The 17,808-nt window shown below is 48.5% G+C and overlaps 1 protein-coding gene across 12 annotated transcripts in view, besides 3 other annotated features; it reads left to right on the top strand.

Annotated features, from left to right (window-relative positions):
- Positions 1-17,808, top strand: part of SMG6 (SMG6 nonsense mediated mRNA decay factor) — a 243,947-nt gene that overhangs the window by 113,911 nt on the left and 112,228 nt on the right. For 11 of the 12 annotated variants that reach the window (XM_011523769.3, XM_047435696.1, XM_005256569.5 and 8 more), the window contains 3 exons: positions 1,360-1,476; positions 3,044-3,212; positions 17,016-17,217. In XM_011523769.3, the coding sequence (XP_011522071.1) occupies positions 1,360-1,476; positions 3,044-3,212; positions 17,016-17,217 (488 nt within the window). Of the gene's footprint in view, positions 1-1,359; positions 1,477-3,043; positions 3,213-17,015; positions 17,218-17,808 lie in introns of those variants that run through there. The other variant, XM_047435700.1, reaches the window with a different exon arrangement.
- Positions 8,880-11,171: an enhancer, noted in NCBI's record as "VISTA enhancer hs924". NCBI's record gives its function as "enhancer in: other[5/13]" and the evidence as "EXISTENCE:transgenic organism evidence [ECO:0001131][PMID:17130149]".
- Positions 11,933-13,397: an enhancer, noted in NCBI's record as "VISTA enhancer hs1445". NCBI's record gives its function as "enhancer in: limb[10/10]" and the evidence as "EXISTENCE:transgenic organism evidence [ECO:0001131][PMID:17130149]".
- Positions 16,246-16,982: an enhancer, noted in NCBI's record as "H3K27ac hESC enhancer chr17:2076187-2076923 (GRCh37/hg19 assembly coordinates)". NCBI's record gives its function as "activates a minimal SCP1, AML or CMV promoter by ChIP-STARR-seq in primed H9 embryonic stem cells {active_cell/tissue: H9 hESC(primed)}" and the evidence as "EXISTENCE:reporter gene assay evidence [ECO:0000049][PMID:30033119]".

The raw sequence follows: 17,808 nt of genomic DNA, 5'->3' as shown, positions 1-17,808 counted from the left end.
AGCCACAATCAAAGAATTACTACCCTGGATGCTATTCGTTTGTTGGGCCCTTCTGAGCAGCAGCCTGCTCCTTCTTACACCCAGTACTTTCAGAAGTGGGTTGGGGCTGGCTTTGTGTACTCCAATCATACTTGCTCCTGGGGCAAAGATGGTAAGGAATCACTGTGGTTGGGTATTGTCTCCTGGAGTAACAACTTCAATGGGGCCCCATTGACAAGACTGGTGAGCTGATGAGAGGGCTCCCCTTGGCTACTGAGGTTAAAATACAGGCAGGGACAGAGATCAGACATTCAGCTGATTATCCTTTTAACACTTGGAGATTCTGAGAGTTCTCCTGTATTAGAGAGGGAATTCACAGATTAGCTGCTGCCAGAGCTAGTGAGCCTGGCCCCTGATTCTGTCTCCTGTGGGTATGTGGTGTCTCCTCCTCGGAGGCTGTGTGGTGGACTGCTGCCTTCTGTGTGTCACCAGCTCCTCTCGAGTTCAGATGACGTGGCTTTCAGGGAAGGCCAGTGATGAAGAGTAGGTACAGGCAGGCTTTTGGGAGTATGCCACATAGCTCCCACCAAAGAATAATTCTGCCCACCAAAAAGATGGCTCCTTTCGGTGACCTGGAGCCAGAAGGAAGTTAGTTAGCCAGGCTGAAAAAGTGACGGGAAGAGGGTACTGGGATTGGGAGCCAGGTTTATTTTTTAGCGCTAGGGGAAGGAATTTGTGAAAACAAAAGCCAACACTGATTAAGTGCTTATTATGTGCCAAGCACTGTTCTGCATAAAATTAACTCATTCCATGAAAGTAGGTTATTTGTGTCATGTGTGTTTTCTTAGGAGGAGGGACATGGAGGAAGTAAGGATGGGACTAAAGGTTGGTGATTCAAGAAGATCATTTTTAGACGAGATCGGGCGCGTTCAGGGTGGTATGGCAGTAGACAGAAGATCATTTTTAAATGTGTATTTTTCCAATCTTAACTGATGACTGTGCTCCTGTTAGTTATACACTAGAGAGACTGAGTTAATTAAATCTGAGTTCTTGTTACGATGGCTTTACATTATCAGTAGGCAGCTAAAGGCAGAGACCATGCAGCTCCAGCTCAGACTGCCCTTCCTGAGGTAACCGTTCCTGGGAAAGTGATGTAGAATTGACAGAGGTGACCCTTATCATCTTATCAAACACATATCCATATGCCAGACCTCATGGTAAGTGCTTCACATGCATTTTCTACTTGGCCTTATGACCACTCTGAGAGAGGGAATATCACTAGCCCTAGTCTTCAGTGAGGAAAAGGAAGCTCGGTAACGTGGCCAGTGATGTGCATCTTGTCCGCCTGGGGCGCTGAGAGTTTCATTTGCCTGTCCGCAGACTGCTTCTCGGAGGAGTGCCGCTCTGTGATCCAGGAACAAGCCGCAGCTCTGGGCTTGGCCATGTTTTCTCTACTGGTCCGCCGCTGCACCTGCTTACTTAAGGAGTCCGCCAAAGGTAAGCAGGAGGAGTCCCCAGCCTGGTGGGCTTTCCAGTTGCCTGGCCTTGTCCAGACCTCACAGTGCCATGCTGTTTTCTCGGTGTCTTCTCCCTGTAGTCTCCATTCTTCCTCTTACCTACATGCCCCTCTTCCTTTTGCCTGCCTAACTAGTCCCATTTCCTTTTACAGTCTGATTGCCTCTAAGGCCCTCTTCTCCTTTTTGTAGAACCCTTTCCTCTCTCTTTTCTCCTTTAGTAGTTAGGATTTTCACTGTACCTATGAGCTGCTGCATGTTCCTGCATCTTCAGGAAACCAGAAAAGTTAGTTTCCATAATCGACGTTGTGTTTTCCCCTTTATCTCTTTGTTTCTGTTTGTGTGGTACCTGGTGAGTTCTGTAACCGCTGTGGACCAGCCATCATGGGAGACTCACTGGACCAGATAGAGCAGGTGCTATTTTTAGCCCTTAGGTTGAGACAGTATCCCATATCCTTTAAGGCTGCCCTTAGAAGTCTAAGCCAGATTGTTGTAGCAGTAGAAGGTAGGGCTGAAGGTTACACCTTTCTTTTCAGCTCCTAGATCAATATTAGTGACTTAATGAGACCCCACTGTCACCCCATGCCGCACCAGCTTTGTGAATGCCTCCAGCTTCGGAGGCTGCCTTTTTTTTTTTTAGGGACAGAAGGGCAACTTTTTATTTTGAAGTAACTTCATATTTACAGAACAGTAGCCAGAATAGTGCAGAGAACTCTTACATACCCTTCACCCGGATTCCCCAGTTAACATTTTACCATATGGGCTTACGTTCGTCTTTCCATACACACATACTTAAGGTTATTATTTTTCTTCTGAACCATTTGATTTTTAAGTTACAGAGTTGCGGGCCCTTTACCCCCAAATACTTGACTCTATATTCCTAATAATAAGGATATTCTCTTAACAACGGTTATCAAAATCGGAAGTCAACATTGACAAAATACTATTATTGCATTCACAGACCTTACTTAGTTTGTGCCAGTTGCCCTAATTTCTTTATAGCAAGGGGAAAAAAAAGTTGTTTTCTGCTCTGGGATCCAGTGCAGGAGCACACGTTGCATTTAGATATCATCGTGTCTCTTTAATGTCCTTTAATTTGGGATGGTTTTTCTGTCTTTCTTTGTCCTACATGTCCTTGTCATTTTTGAAGAATATGAAGCATTTGCACAGTGTCCCACAGTTTGGGTTTCTCTGGTGTTTCCTTGTGATTAAATTCAGGTCATGCAGTTTTGGCAAGAACTCTGGTGCCATCTTGGTACTGTGCTGAAGGAAGGCTGGAAGGGTGGGCTAGAGGCCAGAGTAGAGGCTTCAGCCAAGCCACAGGTGAAGCAGAAGCAGTTGTGTCCAGGGGCAGACCCAGTACACTGGTTCTCTCTTTGTCCTACTTTTCAGAATCCTCTTAGGTGCTGGCGCTTGTCCTCGCTTCTGGGCCTATCTTTCCTGTGGACTTGGTCTCCCTTCCCTAAGAGCTTGCTGCCGTCCCAGCGCCCCAGGCCTCACTCGGGGGCTACAGCAGACATAGGCCCAGTTCTCACCCTTTGCCTCTGCAGCTCAGCTGTCCTCTCCTGAGGACCAGGATGACCAAGACGACATCAAGGTGTCTTCCTTTGTCCCGGACCTGAAGGAGCTGCTCCCCAGTGTCAAAGTCTGGTCAGATTGGATGCTCGGCTACCCGGACACCTGGAATCCTCCTCCCACATCCCTGGATCTGCCCTCGCAGTGAGTTGACCTGCCCATTGCTTCAGCACCACTGGCTTGGGCCTGCCCGTGTTCCTACAGCTCCCCTCTTCATCCTGCTCTGTTTCTTTCTGCCCACAGCCTGCCTGCCTCTCTATTTCTTCTTTATTTGAACTTTTTTTGAATACCTTCCCTATCCTCTGATGTTTTAGGTTATTTTTTCCTGTTCTCCAGGCCTCTTCCCCCTCCTCTCACACTCTCTTTTTCCTCTCACTCTCCATTTTGTTATTTGTTCTTGCTCTCGTTCCCTCATCCTCACTCCATATTGTGCATACTCACCATCTCTGCAGCTGCCTCTGGAGTCTGGATTTGTGTGGATATGTGTGTGTGAGACTTTGTATCTTCTCTTATTAGTTTTTCTGTGCATCTTGCTTTTTTTTTTTTTTTTGAAACAGGGTATCACTTTGTCACCCAGGCTGGAGTGCAGTGGCATGATCTCAGCTCACCCAGGCTGGAGTGCAGTGACGCGATCTCACTGCAACCTCCACCTCCCAGCTCATGTGATCCTCCTGCCTCGGCCTCCTGAGTAGCTGGGACCACAGGTGCACACCACCACGCCTGGCTCATTTTTTGTATTTTTCGGTAGAGACAGGGTTTCGCCGTGTTGCCCAGGCTGGTCTTAAACTCTTGAGCTCAGGAGATCCACCTGCCTCAGCCTCCCAAAGTGCTGGGATGACAGGCATGACCCACCATGCCCAGCCTTCTCTGCATCTTTAAGGCTCTCTCACTGCTGCTTGTGCTGTCTTCTGCAGTTTGTCTCCTGGCATGGCAGCGTGTGGGGAGGCTGAATGCATGCACATCTCTCTTCCATTCACTCATGCCCTGTCTTCTCACCACGTCCCTCCCCTCGCCCCCTGTCTTCTCACCACGTCCCTGCCCTCGTCCCCGTCTTCTCACTACACCTCGCCCTCGTTTCCGTCTTCTCACCATGCCTCTGCCCTCACCCTCATCCCCTGTCTTCTCACCATGAGCCTGCCCTCGCCCCCTGTCTCTGTGTGTCAGTCTGGCATCTCTCAGAGCATTTGTGTATAGCAGAGAGCATTTGTGTATTGGGGGCGGGGGCAGGTGTTGGAGTCTGTGTGTCTGTCTGGGTGTATTTACGTAGATCAGTTTATGTGTTTGTATACCTTTTTCTTTTTCTTTTTTTTAATTGTGGAGATAGATGTAACATTTGCCATCTTAACTATTTCTAAGTTCGGTGACATAAATTACATTTACAGAGTGTTGTGGAACCCCATATGGTTACTTCTTTTATCTTTGTCTATATCTGTGTCTGGGTTGTGTCCGACTCTGTGCTTGTCTAGGTCCATTTGTCTGTGTGTCTGTAAGTCTGTGTGTGTCTTAGTGTCTGTATCTGAGCGCAAAGTTCTGTGTGTCTGCCTCTGGGCGCTTGTCTAGGGGTCTTTCCGTGTGCCTGGTCCATGTCTGTCTGTGTTTACTTGTCCATGTGCATCCATCCAACTGTGGCCACGTGTGTTGTTATCTGTATGTGTTCATGTGGGATGTCCGTATCTATGTCTGTATTTGTGTCTATACCTGTTTGTGTCTGTATATCCTTGAGTATATATATCTCTGTATGGGATTCATGTGTCCCCAAGTAGGTTTCTTTCAGTGTATGTCTGTGTTTTCATGTCTCTGTGTCCACATCTATAGCTGTCTTTTTTTTTTTTTTTTTTTTTTTTTTGAGATGGAGTCCCGCTCTGTCTCCCAGGCTGGAGTGCAGTGGCATAATCTTGGCTGCAACCTCTGTCTCCTGAGTTCAAGCTATTCTCCTACCTCAGCCTCCCGAGTAGCTGGGATTACAGGCACCTGCCACCACACCCGGCTAATTTTTGTATTTTTAATAGAGACGGGGTTTTACCACGTGGGCCAGGCTGGTCTCAAACTCCTGACCTCAGGCAATCCACCCGCCTCAGCCTCCCAAAGTGCTGGGATTACAGGCGCATGAACCACCGTACCCAGCCTTTTTTTTTTTTTTTTTTTTTTTGAGACGGAGTTTTGCTCTTGTTGCCTGGGCTGGAGTATAATGGCGCGACCTCAGCTCACTGCATCCTCAGCCTCCCATGTTCAAGCAGTTCTCCTGCCTCAGCCTCCCAAGTAGCTGGGACTACAGGCATGTGCTACCACACCCAGCTAATTTTTTATTTTTAGTAGAGATGAGGTTTCACTATGTTGGCCAGGCTGGTCTCAAACTCCTGACCTCAGGTGATCTACCCACCTCAGCCTCCCAAAGTGCTGGGATTACAGGTGTGAGCCACCCCATCTGGCCCTTTTTTTTTTTCCCCCCAGAGTCTTGCTCTGTTGCCCAGGTTCAAGTGCAGTGGCATGATCTCAGTTCACTGTAGCCTCTGCCTCCTGGGTTCAAGTGATTCTCCCACCTCAGCCTCCCAAGTGGCTGGGATTACAGGTATGAGCCACCAGGCCTGGCTAATTTTTTTATGTTTAGTAGAGATGGGGTTTCACCATGCTGGTCAGGCTGGTCTCAAAACTCCTGCCCTCCAGTGGTCCACCCGCCTCAGCCTCCAGAAGTGCAGGGATTACAGGCGTGAGCCACCACATCAGACCAGTGTATCTGTCTGTGTCTGTGCTGATTCTGGGTCCATGTCAGTCTGTGTCTGTGTCTGGGTCTGTGAGTATGTGTTCCTGAATGTCTGTGTTGTGTCCATGTTTGTGTGTAACTATGTCTCTGTATGCCAGTCTGGATCTCTCTGTTAGAGGGGGTTTCTGTGTATGTGGGTCTTCCTGTATCTGCCTGCCTTGCCTTTTACCTACCTGTCTGTCTGTCTGTCCTGGCCTGTCTCTGCCTGCCTGCCTCTGTCTTTCTCTTTGCCTCTGCTTTCGTCTGCCTCTGCTGTGTGTGTGTGTGTGTGTGTGTGTGTGTGTGTGTGTGTGTGTGTGTCGCACGCACCTGTATCAGGGATCAGCATACCATGGCCCACAAGCTAATAATGGTTTACATTTTTAAATGGTTAAACAAAAAATCAAACGAGTACTATTTCATGACTCATGAAAATTGTATAAAAGTCAGATTTTAGTGTCCATAAAGTTGATTGGAATATAACCATGCTTACTTGTTTACACTGTGTCTATGGCTGATTTCACATTACAGAGCAGAGTTGAGTAGTTGCCACAGGCTGTATGGTTCACACGGCCTGGAATATTTGCAGTTTAGCTCATTACAGAAAAAGCTTGCTGACTTCAATCTCTGTCCATGTTCCATGTGTCACATTCTTCTTTGTGTTAGTGTCACTGTGTGTGTTCATGTTTGTACAACTGTGCGTGTAGGCTCCATCTCTGTTCAGCCCTGTTCACTATTCATCTCTCCCTCCTGCTCACTTTAATTTTTCCCTCCCTCCCTCCCTTCTTTCTTTTTTCTTTCTTTTTCCTTCTTCCCTCCCTTCCTGCCTTCCTACCTTCCTTTCCCAGGGTCTCGCTCTGTTACCCAGGGTGGACGGCAGTGGCACGATCACAGCTCGCTGCAGCCTCGACCTCCTGGGCTCAGGTGATTCTCCCACCTCAGTCTCCCAAGTAGCTGGGACTACAGGCATGCACCACCAACCCGGCTAACTTTTTGTATTTTTTAAATAGAGATGGGGCATTGTCATGTTGCCCAAGTTGGCCTTGATCTCCTGGGCTAAAGCGGTCTGCCTGCCTCGGCCTCCCACAGTGCTGGGCCTCTCTTTCTTATCTCTACTCTTCCTTAGTGTCTCTGTCTTTCTCTGTTTCACCCCTGCCCACCCCACCCCCCTGGCCATTTCTCGTTTCCCTCTTCCTTTTCTTCCCCTACCCCACATTCTCTCAGTGTGGTCTTCGGCTGGTGCTGTGTACCCAAAGCTCCTTCATGCTCTGTGTTATGCATTTATGTGTGTTTCAGAACAAGCATCTCCAGTGTTCTTCTCTGGAGAGAAGTAATGCTGGGGGATAGATTATGGAGACCCTGGCTACTTTGGAGGGCACTTTTGGGGAGTAGGGAGGGGAGCTTGTTTGACTTGGGGACCAGCCATGTGAGTCTCCTAGACTCATGGGTAACCTCCAGAGGGAAGGCTAAAGCAGAGATTTCTGGGCAGCAGTTTATGTGTGGACTGTGTAGTCTGATTCTTCCCCTTTTCTTTCTAAATTTTTTCCCTGTACTTGCCTCAAGATGTACCCCCTGGACTGTTATTAATCTCAGTCTCCCCATGCCCTCCCCACCTCTAGCTCTGTAACGGTGTGGGCGGCACTCACAGCATCGGACAGTTCTCTGCATCCTATCTGTGGGCCCTCCTAGGTTTCCAAAATGCACTCCAGGCTGAAGCCTTGGAGCTCCAAGCTGTGCAGCTGGGGCCACACAAAGGAACTGACGGATCTGCTGGCCAGGGGACAGCTGTTTCTCAGCAGTGATCCCCAAAGAGTTAACATCTACAGCCTCAAACTTTTCAGGCTATTAATCTGTAATGAGGACTAGGCAGTTTGCAGTTTTGGAACGAAAATGCCAAGAAAGGACTCAGTTCTCCAAGTATCTAAGCCACTGCTTCTGAGCATGCACAAGGGTCACTGAGTGTCCCTTCCTTACTCTCAGGGTGGGGAGGCAGACCATCTGTCCTTGGAGCCTGGGCCTTCCCCGGGTCACCTCACCTCACAACCACAGGTCTCTTAGATAGGATTCACACAGCCCCTGTTTACCCATATCCCGGGCCACAGGTCTGTTAGCTCTCTCACGCAGCATGTCTCCCTTCATCCCTCCTCCCTCTCTCACTCCCTTTTGGCTTTTGTTCGGCTGAGGAAATGGAAAGCTCACACAGGAAGTGCTGGGTCTCATTTGCTTGAGATGCTGAGTCTGTTTTCTCTTTGGATGCTGCAGCAAATGGCCCGTTGCCGGCTCTGAGCTGCTGCCCATCTTTGGGCAAGGGCTCAATCTACAGGCAGGCACGTGGTCCAAGCTACAGCCATCCCCGGCTGGGCTTCACATTCTGGGCTACAGAGAGGCAGAGGGGGTTGGGACATTTGAGTCATATTTGCTTAGTCTTCTCAGACTTCTTCACGAGGAGAGCAAATCTGACCAAATAGTATATTGAATTTAATTACCCAGCAAATACGTTACCGTAGCTGTGGATACCACTTACTCTCTCGTGAAGCCAGTCCGGGCTAGAGAGATAAAACAGTGTAATAGAGAAAAACATCTCCTTCTGTGCTCTCTTTCTTTCTCTCTCTGCAGTTAGGATCAGCAGCTGGTTATCTCTGGAATGCGAGTTTAAGCATGAAAGAGAGGCTTTGCTATCCTGGGGCCTGACCCCAAGGCATGGCTATTTAAGGACTGGTGCCCGCGTTCAACAGAGCAAACCTGGCCTGACTACCACTGAGGGTAGTCCCACCTCAGAGTCTTCAGATCAGAGGCCTGGAAAAGTGGAATCAGAATTGCACCTTCCTTCTTTTGTTTCCCATATTCTCATGTAGCTTCCTAATACTCACTGAGTAAATACTCTGGTTGAGAGATTGGCAAAGGTATGGTGCTTTTGTGGGTTTCAAACTTAATCTCATGCCCACTGACCTTACAGATTGAAGAGGCTTTTCTTTTAAGGTCATAGAGAATAACACACCCCAATGGTTCTGTAGATGCCAAAACTGTAACCCCCCTGACGCTTGTAAAGTCCTTGTTGCTGCTCATCGTTTTGAAGGGTTTGGAAATGCTCCCAAGGGAGCAGGAATGAAATGGCTGCTGTTTAGTGCCCCTTCTTGGCATGCTTTCATTGGTCTTTGCCTGAGTTTCTTCTTTGCAAAGATACATTTCTCTGATCCTAAGATAAGGTGACCAGAGAGCCTGTTTTTCCTACAAAGAGGAAGTCTCCTTTGCTTTTCCTCCAGAAACCCCACTTCCAAATGGTCCCTCTGACATGTGGGACCCTTCTTTCATCTCTCTTCCTTCATTCCCTCCCTGTCTTTAATTTGTTACCCTCTTTCCTTATGCAGTTAGAGAATCATTGCACAGCATCTTCCCCTCTCTGAGGGGAATTCCAGGGTTCATCTTGAGTTTCCTTGGTTCTCTCCTCTTTGCCCATGCTCCTCTTCCTTCCAGTCAAAACCACAACAGCAGGCACATGTGGAACACCTAGGATGATGATGAGAGTATCGTTGGCACTGCAGAGTGATGAGGGCAGGATTGCTGGGCATGTGGGCATGTGTGCCTTCCCTCGCTGTGGCACTTATTAGATCTGTGTGTTAGAGCCAGCATGGATGGAAGCAAGTTGACTCCCCAGTTGTACCCGTTAGGGATTGTAACAGAATGGCTTCATAATCCCAGGAGATTATTGGTATAGAGGATTATAGCAGGATGTGGAAAGTGGCCTGGGGCCACTGTGAAAGTCAATGTAGAGTGCTGGGTGTGTTTAGGACAGACTGCTTGGTTTGGAGGGCCCACCTACTTGCCCCATCTGCTAGCATAGTTTGTGTTCCCATCCACACCAAGCCTCTGGTGAGAAGGGAGAGGCAGCTGCACCCCTACTTCGGCAAGTGAGCACAAGGAAAGTCGTGCTGGAGAGGAGTAGAGCGACAGGCTTCATGGACCTGAGCATAGTGACCCCTTGCATCCCAGGACCTTTGGCAAGGCTAGGGCAGTGGGACAGCCTACCTCATTTCAGTCTCTGCTGAGGCCAAATCTTCACTTATCCTGATTTCTAGTTCTCAGTAAGTGAAAGAGTCAGGGGACTTTGAGAACATCCAAACCTAGCCCAGCTGTGGCAGTTGGTTTATTGCTTTCAGCTGGTACTTGAACCCAGGTCCTGGTCTTGGAGGCTTTCCCAGGTTTAATCCCCAGAGCTTTCTCTGCAGCTGTATGACACTGCGCTGACCCCGAATGAGGATAGGAAAATAGAACCAGTGCCAAGCCAGAGTCTCTTTTTCATTTGGAGTCTGGCTGTCTGCCCATGACCAGGGTTACATAATGGGAAACATAGCTGGGGCTCTGGAGAGCCCGCGTTTCACCAGGCTGCCCAGACCTTCGCATTCTGATGCTATATATCTTCCTAATTGTAGCTCGGATGCATTTATCACACTGTTGGATTGGAGTACTGTTTAAAAAAAAAAAAACTCTAGAAATTCTTGTACTTGCTGCTTTTCCATGGATCGTCTTCCATAGTCTACAGAGCACACTGGAGAAGGGTCGTAGGGAGCCCTCTGAGGTCTTGTCACATAGGGAGAAAGAGGGATACGTAGGGCGTATGCAGTAAGCTGACTTCCTTAGGGAGCTTCCATGTGTTGACTCTGTAGATGAGATAGAAATTCTCAAGTTAAAAAACAACTAGTTCACTCACCTTCATAGGGCAGCTCTGAAATAAGAACTAATCCCAAGGCTAATCGGCACCCCTTCAAGGACACTTAATATGCCTTCCCAAAAGGGCATTTTAGGAGGTCACTGAGTAATAGTCCATCAGCACTTCCCTGAAGGAAGTGGTGGTGGCTGTGGGAAGCCCCTTTGCTACCCTGGCTCCCCACCCAGTCTCCCTGGCTCCGGGTTGGGGCGTTAGCACTGCAGCCTGGCACCAGGGGGTTCCTCTTCCTCCAAGTGCTGAGTGTGGGGCACACGTGATCTCTCCCACGGCAGGAGCCCCTGTCCCCTCCCCACGCCTCCCGTAGGACTCCTTGTGAGAGGAAGGGGTGTTGGCCTAAGGCTCCAGTCTGACCCCAGCAGGGTACAGCAGCTGACCCCAGGGAGAGTACTTTCCAGCTCTGAGCTGAGGTTATTTGGGTCCAGTGTGTGCTAAGCTAAGAAGACGTGTTGGAGTGGTTACAGCTAAAAGTTTGGAGAGGCAGGAACCGTGAGAATCCGCACCAGGGAGGCCGCCGAGGGCTCCACTCATGCCGTGGAGATGTCAGGATCCCCTAGGGGCTGCTCTTTCCCAAACATACAGTGCTGATGGGTTTAGCACACCATAGTGATATGACAGAGGCTATACATATGAGGGTGGCTTTGGAGAACTGAAATCAAATAAGGCGCCGACCCCGAACATATTGGGGGCAGTGGATGGTTGAGGTGCTCTGATACTTGAGAAATCCTGGAACGAGGTTACTGTGACCTATTGCTGGCCATAGGGTTCCAGCTGCCCTGCTTAGAACATGGAGAGGTTTATATTCTTGCAGTAGGGCAGGATGACTAAGCTTCAGAATTTGATTTGCCCTTTTGGGCAAAATTGATTTAGGGTGAGTACTCTCCCAAAGTCCCAAGTCGACTTGTTGGTATAAATGAGAAAGATAGAAGGGATTACCTTCATCTAAGTCTGGTCTCTTTAGGGGTCACCCAGCAAACATCTCTTATTCTTAGAGGATGGTGTCTTGCTGCTCATATCTTAACTCCTGGAATGGTGGCCTTTGATACCTTTGTCTCTTCTTTGTATCATGTGGCATCTGGATGACACATTGTTGCTAGAAATCTCCAGGAGCCGCATAGAATTCTCCCCATCTCCAGCCCAGCCCAGGGCCTCTTGAGCTACCTAGCACTGAGGTACCAGAATCAAATCCTTCGCCCAATGCAAACAGAGTTGGCATGACATCTTGGCTTTCCAAGAGGCATGCTAAGCCATTTCAAGCCCGGGTATTATTCTTTTAACTCTGCCACACTTATTGGATTCAAGTCCATTTCTGCTATTAGCTGCTGAATTCCTGCAGTTTTCTCCAGTGGAGTGAGAAGCTCTCCAGGGCAACAGTGGTCTTATGTTAGCCTCTGACCCCTGCGTGGACAGTTGTAGGCTAGGATATAATGGCCCACAGGGAAACCGTTTGAAAAGGCAGATATTGCATGTCTTAGGCGTGGTTCTCTTGTTACAGCCATTTGTCTTTGTGTCTGTACCACATGGGTGTCCTCTTTTTCAGCTTCTTTGTGCCTAGCTTCTGTGCCATCTTGGCTGTATTTCCAGATCTCCTCACTCCAGGAACCAGAAGACCCAACTTGTTTCCCATCTGTACTGCTTCTCTGATCTTCCATAGCTCTGAAACACAATGCACGGCTTCTTCTCACTCAACTCTTTCCGGGTTTGTTCTGCAGCTGTGGAGTTTGAATGTTAGTGTTTAAACAAGCTGGTATTACACAGGAAATGGCCACCTCCACAGGCCCCAGCAGGCTTGTAACATGGGGTCATTGTACTTGATGTTAATCACCAGTCAGCTTGTTCCCCCAGTAAAATATGAAGGAGTGTGTGAGTGCCTCATCCTCCTTAGACTTGCCAGGAAGATGGACTGAGTCTTGGTCAGGCGTTGGTGCTCCACTCTTTTCAGACTCTCTCCTCCTCTCAGTCCTGCCCCAGTGGAGCTTTCAGAAAAAGTCCTGCCTGACTCCTTCCCTATGAAGCTGGCAGACTGCCTTTCTGAGTTCTGGGCAAGAAGGTAGATTATTGTGGTGTGACGTGTCTCACCTGGCATACCTTAATCTGTCAGAGGATGCTGCAGTTGGGTAACCTCTCCTGTGAGAAAAGCAAAATTTTAGGAACACAGAAACCCATGGCCCCTCTGAGAGCAGGGCTTCTCAGTTCCCTGGACGTCAGCTGCCTTTCTACAGCTATTTGCAGAACTCACCTCAGCCTGAAGGGTTAATCTGATTCCGGAGTCAATATCCCCCAAACAACCAGCCAGGAGTGTGTGTTGGTTTGTTTCTGTGAAATGTGTTTCCCCAGTCACCTGGGCTGGCCTGGGCTGCATTGTATCGGCCAGCAGCTGCACTGCACTCAAACTGACAGATACATTAAACCTTGGAATTCTGAGGCAATAAAAAGTAAATTAACTCTTATTTTTTTCCTTTCCTGGTGGACTAAGTGAATGCATGTCTGTAGGGAAGCAAGTGAGCCTTGGTTCTGAGTGCATACTTGTAACTAGTCACTGCTGGTTTGTCCCAAACTCGGATCTGGCTTTCCGACTCCAGCCAGGGCTCTGCCGTCCTGGTGTGTGGTGTGTTCTGTGGGGTTGGGCCAGTGGGTCACCTTGCAACTGCTGATCCCTGCTCTCTAATCACATCACAGCTGCTGAGAGACTCCCTGGCCATCATTCTGGGAGCCATAAGCAGGCTCATTGGACACAGTTGCGTATTCTCTGGCTGCTTTGTGTCTGCTTGGTGAACAGTCCACCCTAACTTTAGCGGGATATTGTGGACTCTGGGAATTTCCCTAAAATATGCATTGAACCAGAACAAACCAGAAGGACCTGCATGAGTCCACAGCACTCTAGAGGGTCCATTTAGAATCAAAAGTTGTTTGAGATTATTTGGGAAACCTTCTGGGAAGTTATTTCCCAAGCATTTCCAAAAGATTGGCAGCTGTTTACAGATCCTCATCGCCACCCGAATTTGACTTTTGGCTCCTTGGCCCTGGCCAACCTTGAATCCATAGGGCCTAAGGGCTGCTGTCGGGTGAAGGCTAGAAGGTGCTCCTGGTTGGGATGAGGAATTAAAGCAGGAAAAAGCTAAGCTTTTCTCCTTCTACAGACAGGAAATCCTATGTGCACCCACAGAACTGACCTCCCAGCCCAGAGGCCTGATTGGGGTAAGCTGAGGTGATGTTGCCCAGCTTCCAGGAATTACCTCATCCTTTTGCAAATATCTTAACTTTTGAGTTCAGACATCTCACCTGGTTTTTCAAAGCACCTCTTCCTTTGAGTTTCCTGACACTCCCTCACTCCTGTAGAGAGTCACTGTGTCGCCCATGGGTCTCTGGGTAGTTGTGTTGTGTTCATGTCTGTGGTGTTCGATGAAAGGAGATAACTGATGATATGAATGTGAACTGAGTTTGGGTGATCCCACTGAAACACCAGAAGAAGGCAGCTACTCACAATCAGAGCACAAGACCAATTTGAATTAACCAGAGCAGAAGTGACCTCTCATTGAAGCATTTTGTGTATTTCCTTGGTTCTGCACAGTCTAGCTTGGCTCTTGGACCACTTTTATTTATATTTCTGAGTTGGGAACTCTGGGCACTCCCTGTGTCTTTTGGCATCAGCTGCTTTCTTACAAATCAACATTGAGGTAGGGATTCTCGTCCACCTTATTTTTGCAGTGAGTCTCAAGGTTTTGGTACAAGGTGGGTGGTAATGGGCAAAAAGGCGTATGTGGGCAGGGGTCCCTAGTGGTGGCCAGCAGTCTCTGGGAGGAGTCAGTTTTGGTTTATCTGAGCCTTAGGGGACAGGAGAGCATGGTAATGAGAACCACATGGTACCACATATTTCTTCATCTTGGATCCAAGATGGTAGGGGTGGGAGGATGAGAGAGGGATGTGGGGCCTCCCACTGTGGCAGCCGTGGGTAATTTTCGGCCGCCTCTCTCTGGCTGGGGATGCTGCTGCCCACACCACCCCCAACCCCCAACTATGTCCTGCAGCAGCCTTGACCTGCACGCACCAACCAGGGCCCCCAAGCCAAGAATTCAGCTGGGAGACTTTTCACCTTCTTCCTTCTCACTGTCGTCTTTCCTGTTTATTTTCCAAATTGCTGCTCTGCAGCCGAGCAGTGCCTGTTGGCCAAAGCTCACCAGTGCTGTGGGATCAGACTCAGGCAGCGGGCTCAAGTGGCCAGCAGGGCACTGGGGGAGGAAGCGGGGAACTGGAAGAGCCTCCCTGTGCGTCTCCCATGGGCAGCACTAACCTCGGAGGCGGCCCTGAGCAGCCCTATCACATCCGGTGCTTGTCTCTGCAGCCGGGACCGGAGGATAAACTATCAGGGCTGTGGGGCAGTGCATCATTCCTCTTATTATTTTCTTCTCTGCAGATGGGGTCGTGGAAAGTTCAGTTCCTTTTAACCCTCGAAGTTCTGTTTATTCTACAGCTGGTAGCCTGAATGCCGCGTTTCCCATTACATCACAAAGGAGCTCAGGCAGATCTCTGCACAGAAACGTGTTGCAACTGTTTATTTTTTTCCATATTTAAACATTTCTGACAGCCAAACCCGGCTGAGCCAAAAGATGGAGCTTTGTGAATGAGTCTGGTTGTCGGTGTCTGCGCTGAGAGAGGCTTTAGAAAACTCGTCCCTCCGGTGATTCTTCCCAAACATGTTCTTTTTCCTGGGTAAAGCCTGTGAAGCGAGTTACTTCTGCAGTACACGTGTGTTGATTATGTGCCGTTGTGTGATTAATGGGGCTGTGTTCCGTCTGGTTCCCAGGACACTCTTGAAAACAAGATGTTTCATTTCATTGCCTTTTCCTAGTGCAATGATTACAGTAAATAAACCATTGCAGCCTCCTTCCACCTGGAGCCAGTCAGGGAGTTCCCATACCTCTGCTCCACTTTCTCCCCCACTGTCACCTTCGGTGGCATGTCCCTTGAATGCTTTCTTTTCTGCCATCTCCCAAAGATTCTTGGTCTCCAGGAGAAACAAATTGCTTAGATCTGAGGCCCCTCCCTAGTAGGACTCATAGGCAGTAACTCCACTGGGGAGATTCCAGGATGATTCTTCTTTGTTGTTTTTAGCAAGAGGGTCTCACTGTGTTGCCCAGGCTGGTCTTGAACTCCTGGCCTCAAGTGATCCTCCCTTCTCATGTTCCCAAAGTACTGGGATTACAGGCGTGAGCCACCACACCCCGCCCAGGATGATTCTTACAGCTCTCTTTACATATTGCCTCTTGCCACTCTAGCTCATGAATCTAATTGTGAAGCTTTTCTTTGTAATTCTCCTATGCATCTCTCTTCTTTTAGAGTAAAACTTAGCATCCATAGGATATTATCTGTTCCAGACTCCTGGTTAGGTGCTTTCCTGGAGAAGAAAGCCAAGTCTGTAGCCTTGGCAGGCCCTATATGCTTACCACAATTTGTAGTATCCCTGGGCAGGCCAAAAAAAAAAAAAAAAAAAAAAAAAAGCTTTATGGATCCTCAGCACCCACCAAAGCAGGAATCTGACCCACAGTCGATTTTTGACAAGTGATGGTGACAGAGAAATGAACCTCTTTTTTTATAATTCTATGCTGAAATTTCAATTAAGGAGAGCCAGACTTTGCAGTTTCAAGGTTTCTTCTCAGGTTCAGCCAGGACCTGGTGATACGCAATTAGGACAGCCAGCCATCCCAGTTTGCCCAGGACTGGGGGGTTTCTGGGGACGTGGGACTTTCAGTGCTAAAACTGGGACAGTCCCACACAAACCGGAATAGTTGATCACCCTGTATCTCACCTTCCACAAATGAGAGAAAGGAGAGGTGTGGAATGGCTGAGACAGCGCTGATGAATTGTGTAAGAGGCTTTACCTTCCTGTGAGGATCTTGATGGGCCAGGAATGAGGTTTTTGTTTGTTTGTGTGATTGGTTGATTGATTGATTGATTGCCTGCCTATATATAGGGAAGAGATTTCTAAAGCATTGTAGGAGGAAAACATGCATGACTCTTGCTGTATTGTGACTAGACCCTCCATGGCTGTGGCTGGAGGAGGAGAGGCTGGTGCTCAGTTGCTGTCTGTGTGGCATGTACTTGGCTGGACAGCAGTGGGGAATTCTGGGAGCAGCCACAAGCACTGGGTGTCTAGAGTGTTTGAGTAAGCGTCTCAGGCACACTGTCTGGAAAGATGACAGGACCCTGCATTAGGCAACTGAGTCTCCAAATTCTTTTTCCTCTCTGGTGAGGATTAAAAACTCCCCCTAATCAATTTCAACTTTGCATAAATCCACATACACATACCTCAGATTGCTGCCTTGGGCACAGTTTTGTTTCCTAGCATTTTTGGGGTATGATTTCCTGGCAGATGCCAGCCTAGACAACATTTGCTGCAAGTACTTCCCTGCTCACAAATACTGAGAATACTTTTTTTTACTGGTCCCTCTTTAGAGCTGCTCTTTTCTTACCTTATTTCTCACAGTGTTGCTGTGGATGTATGGTCGACGCTGGCTGATTTCTGTAACATACTGACTGCAGTGAATCAGTCTGAGGTGCCACTGTACAAGGACCCGGATGATGACCTCACCCTTCTTATCCTGGAAGAGGATCGGCTTCTCTCGGGCTTTGTCCCCTTGCTGGCTGCCCCTCAGGACCCCTGCTACGTGGAGAAAACCTCGGATAAGGTCAGCCCCAGGCCAAACATCCCTCCCCATTCGCCCCTCCTCTTAATTCTCCAGACTTTTTTATTCTTGGGAAGTTTTCTGTGCAAATGGAACATGATTAAGTCATTGAGAAGGGTGTTAAGGGAAAATATCGACCTTTTAGCCGCTGACATCCAGCTCTGTGTCCTGAAAAAAAAAAGCCCTCTCGACTTCCTTTGGTGTGTGTGTGTGCTTGCTGGCATGTTGTATATACGATCATTTCCTCACTTGTTTAAATAGTGCAGCTTGTGTTGGCAGTGCTCTCACTCAGCTCCAAATGGTTTGCATCATGCTTAAAGCACCCTCCTTTCTCCCCCTTCCTCCCCGCCCCCCTCCGCCACAAAGCTCTGCACTAGGAAAACAGCCAGGGCTTTTTCCCTTCTCTGAGGAGGAGAGTGATAAATAGGTGACTAGAGAGAAGCAGACACCATGTGTTAACTTAGAAAAAAAAACTTGTAGGAATATGAAGCATTCCCCACTGCCTGGTTTCTATTTTCCTTCCTCTGAGGACTGCGTTTTAACCTGAACGTTTTTCTTGCCTGTCTGTTTATAGAAAACAAAGCCGATTCCCTG

Source organism: Homo sapiens, chromosome 17, assembly GCF_000001405.40.
Source record: "Homo sapiens chromosome 17, GRCh38.p14 Primary Assembly".
Classification (NCBI taxonomy): domain Eukaryota; kingdom Metazoa; phylum Chordata; class Mammalia; order Primates; family Hominidae; genus Homo; species Homo sapiens.
The sequence above is the reverse complement of the archived record's forward strand: the minus strand, read 5'-3'. Positions and strand labels throughout refer to the sequence as shown.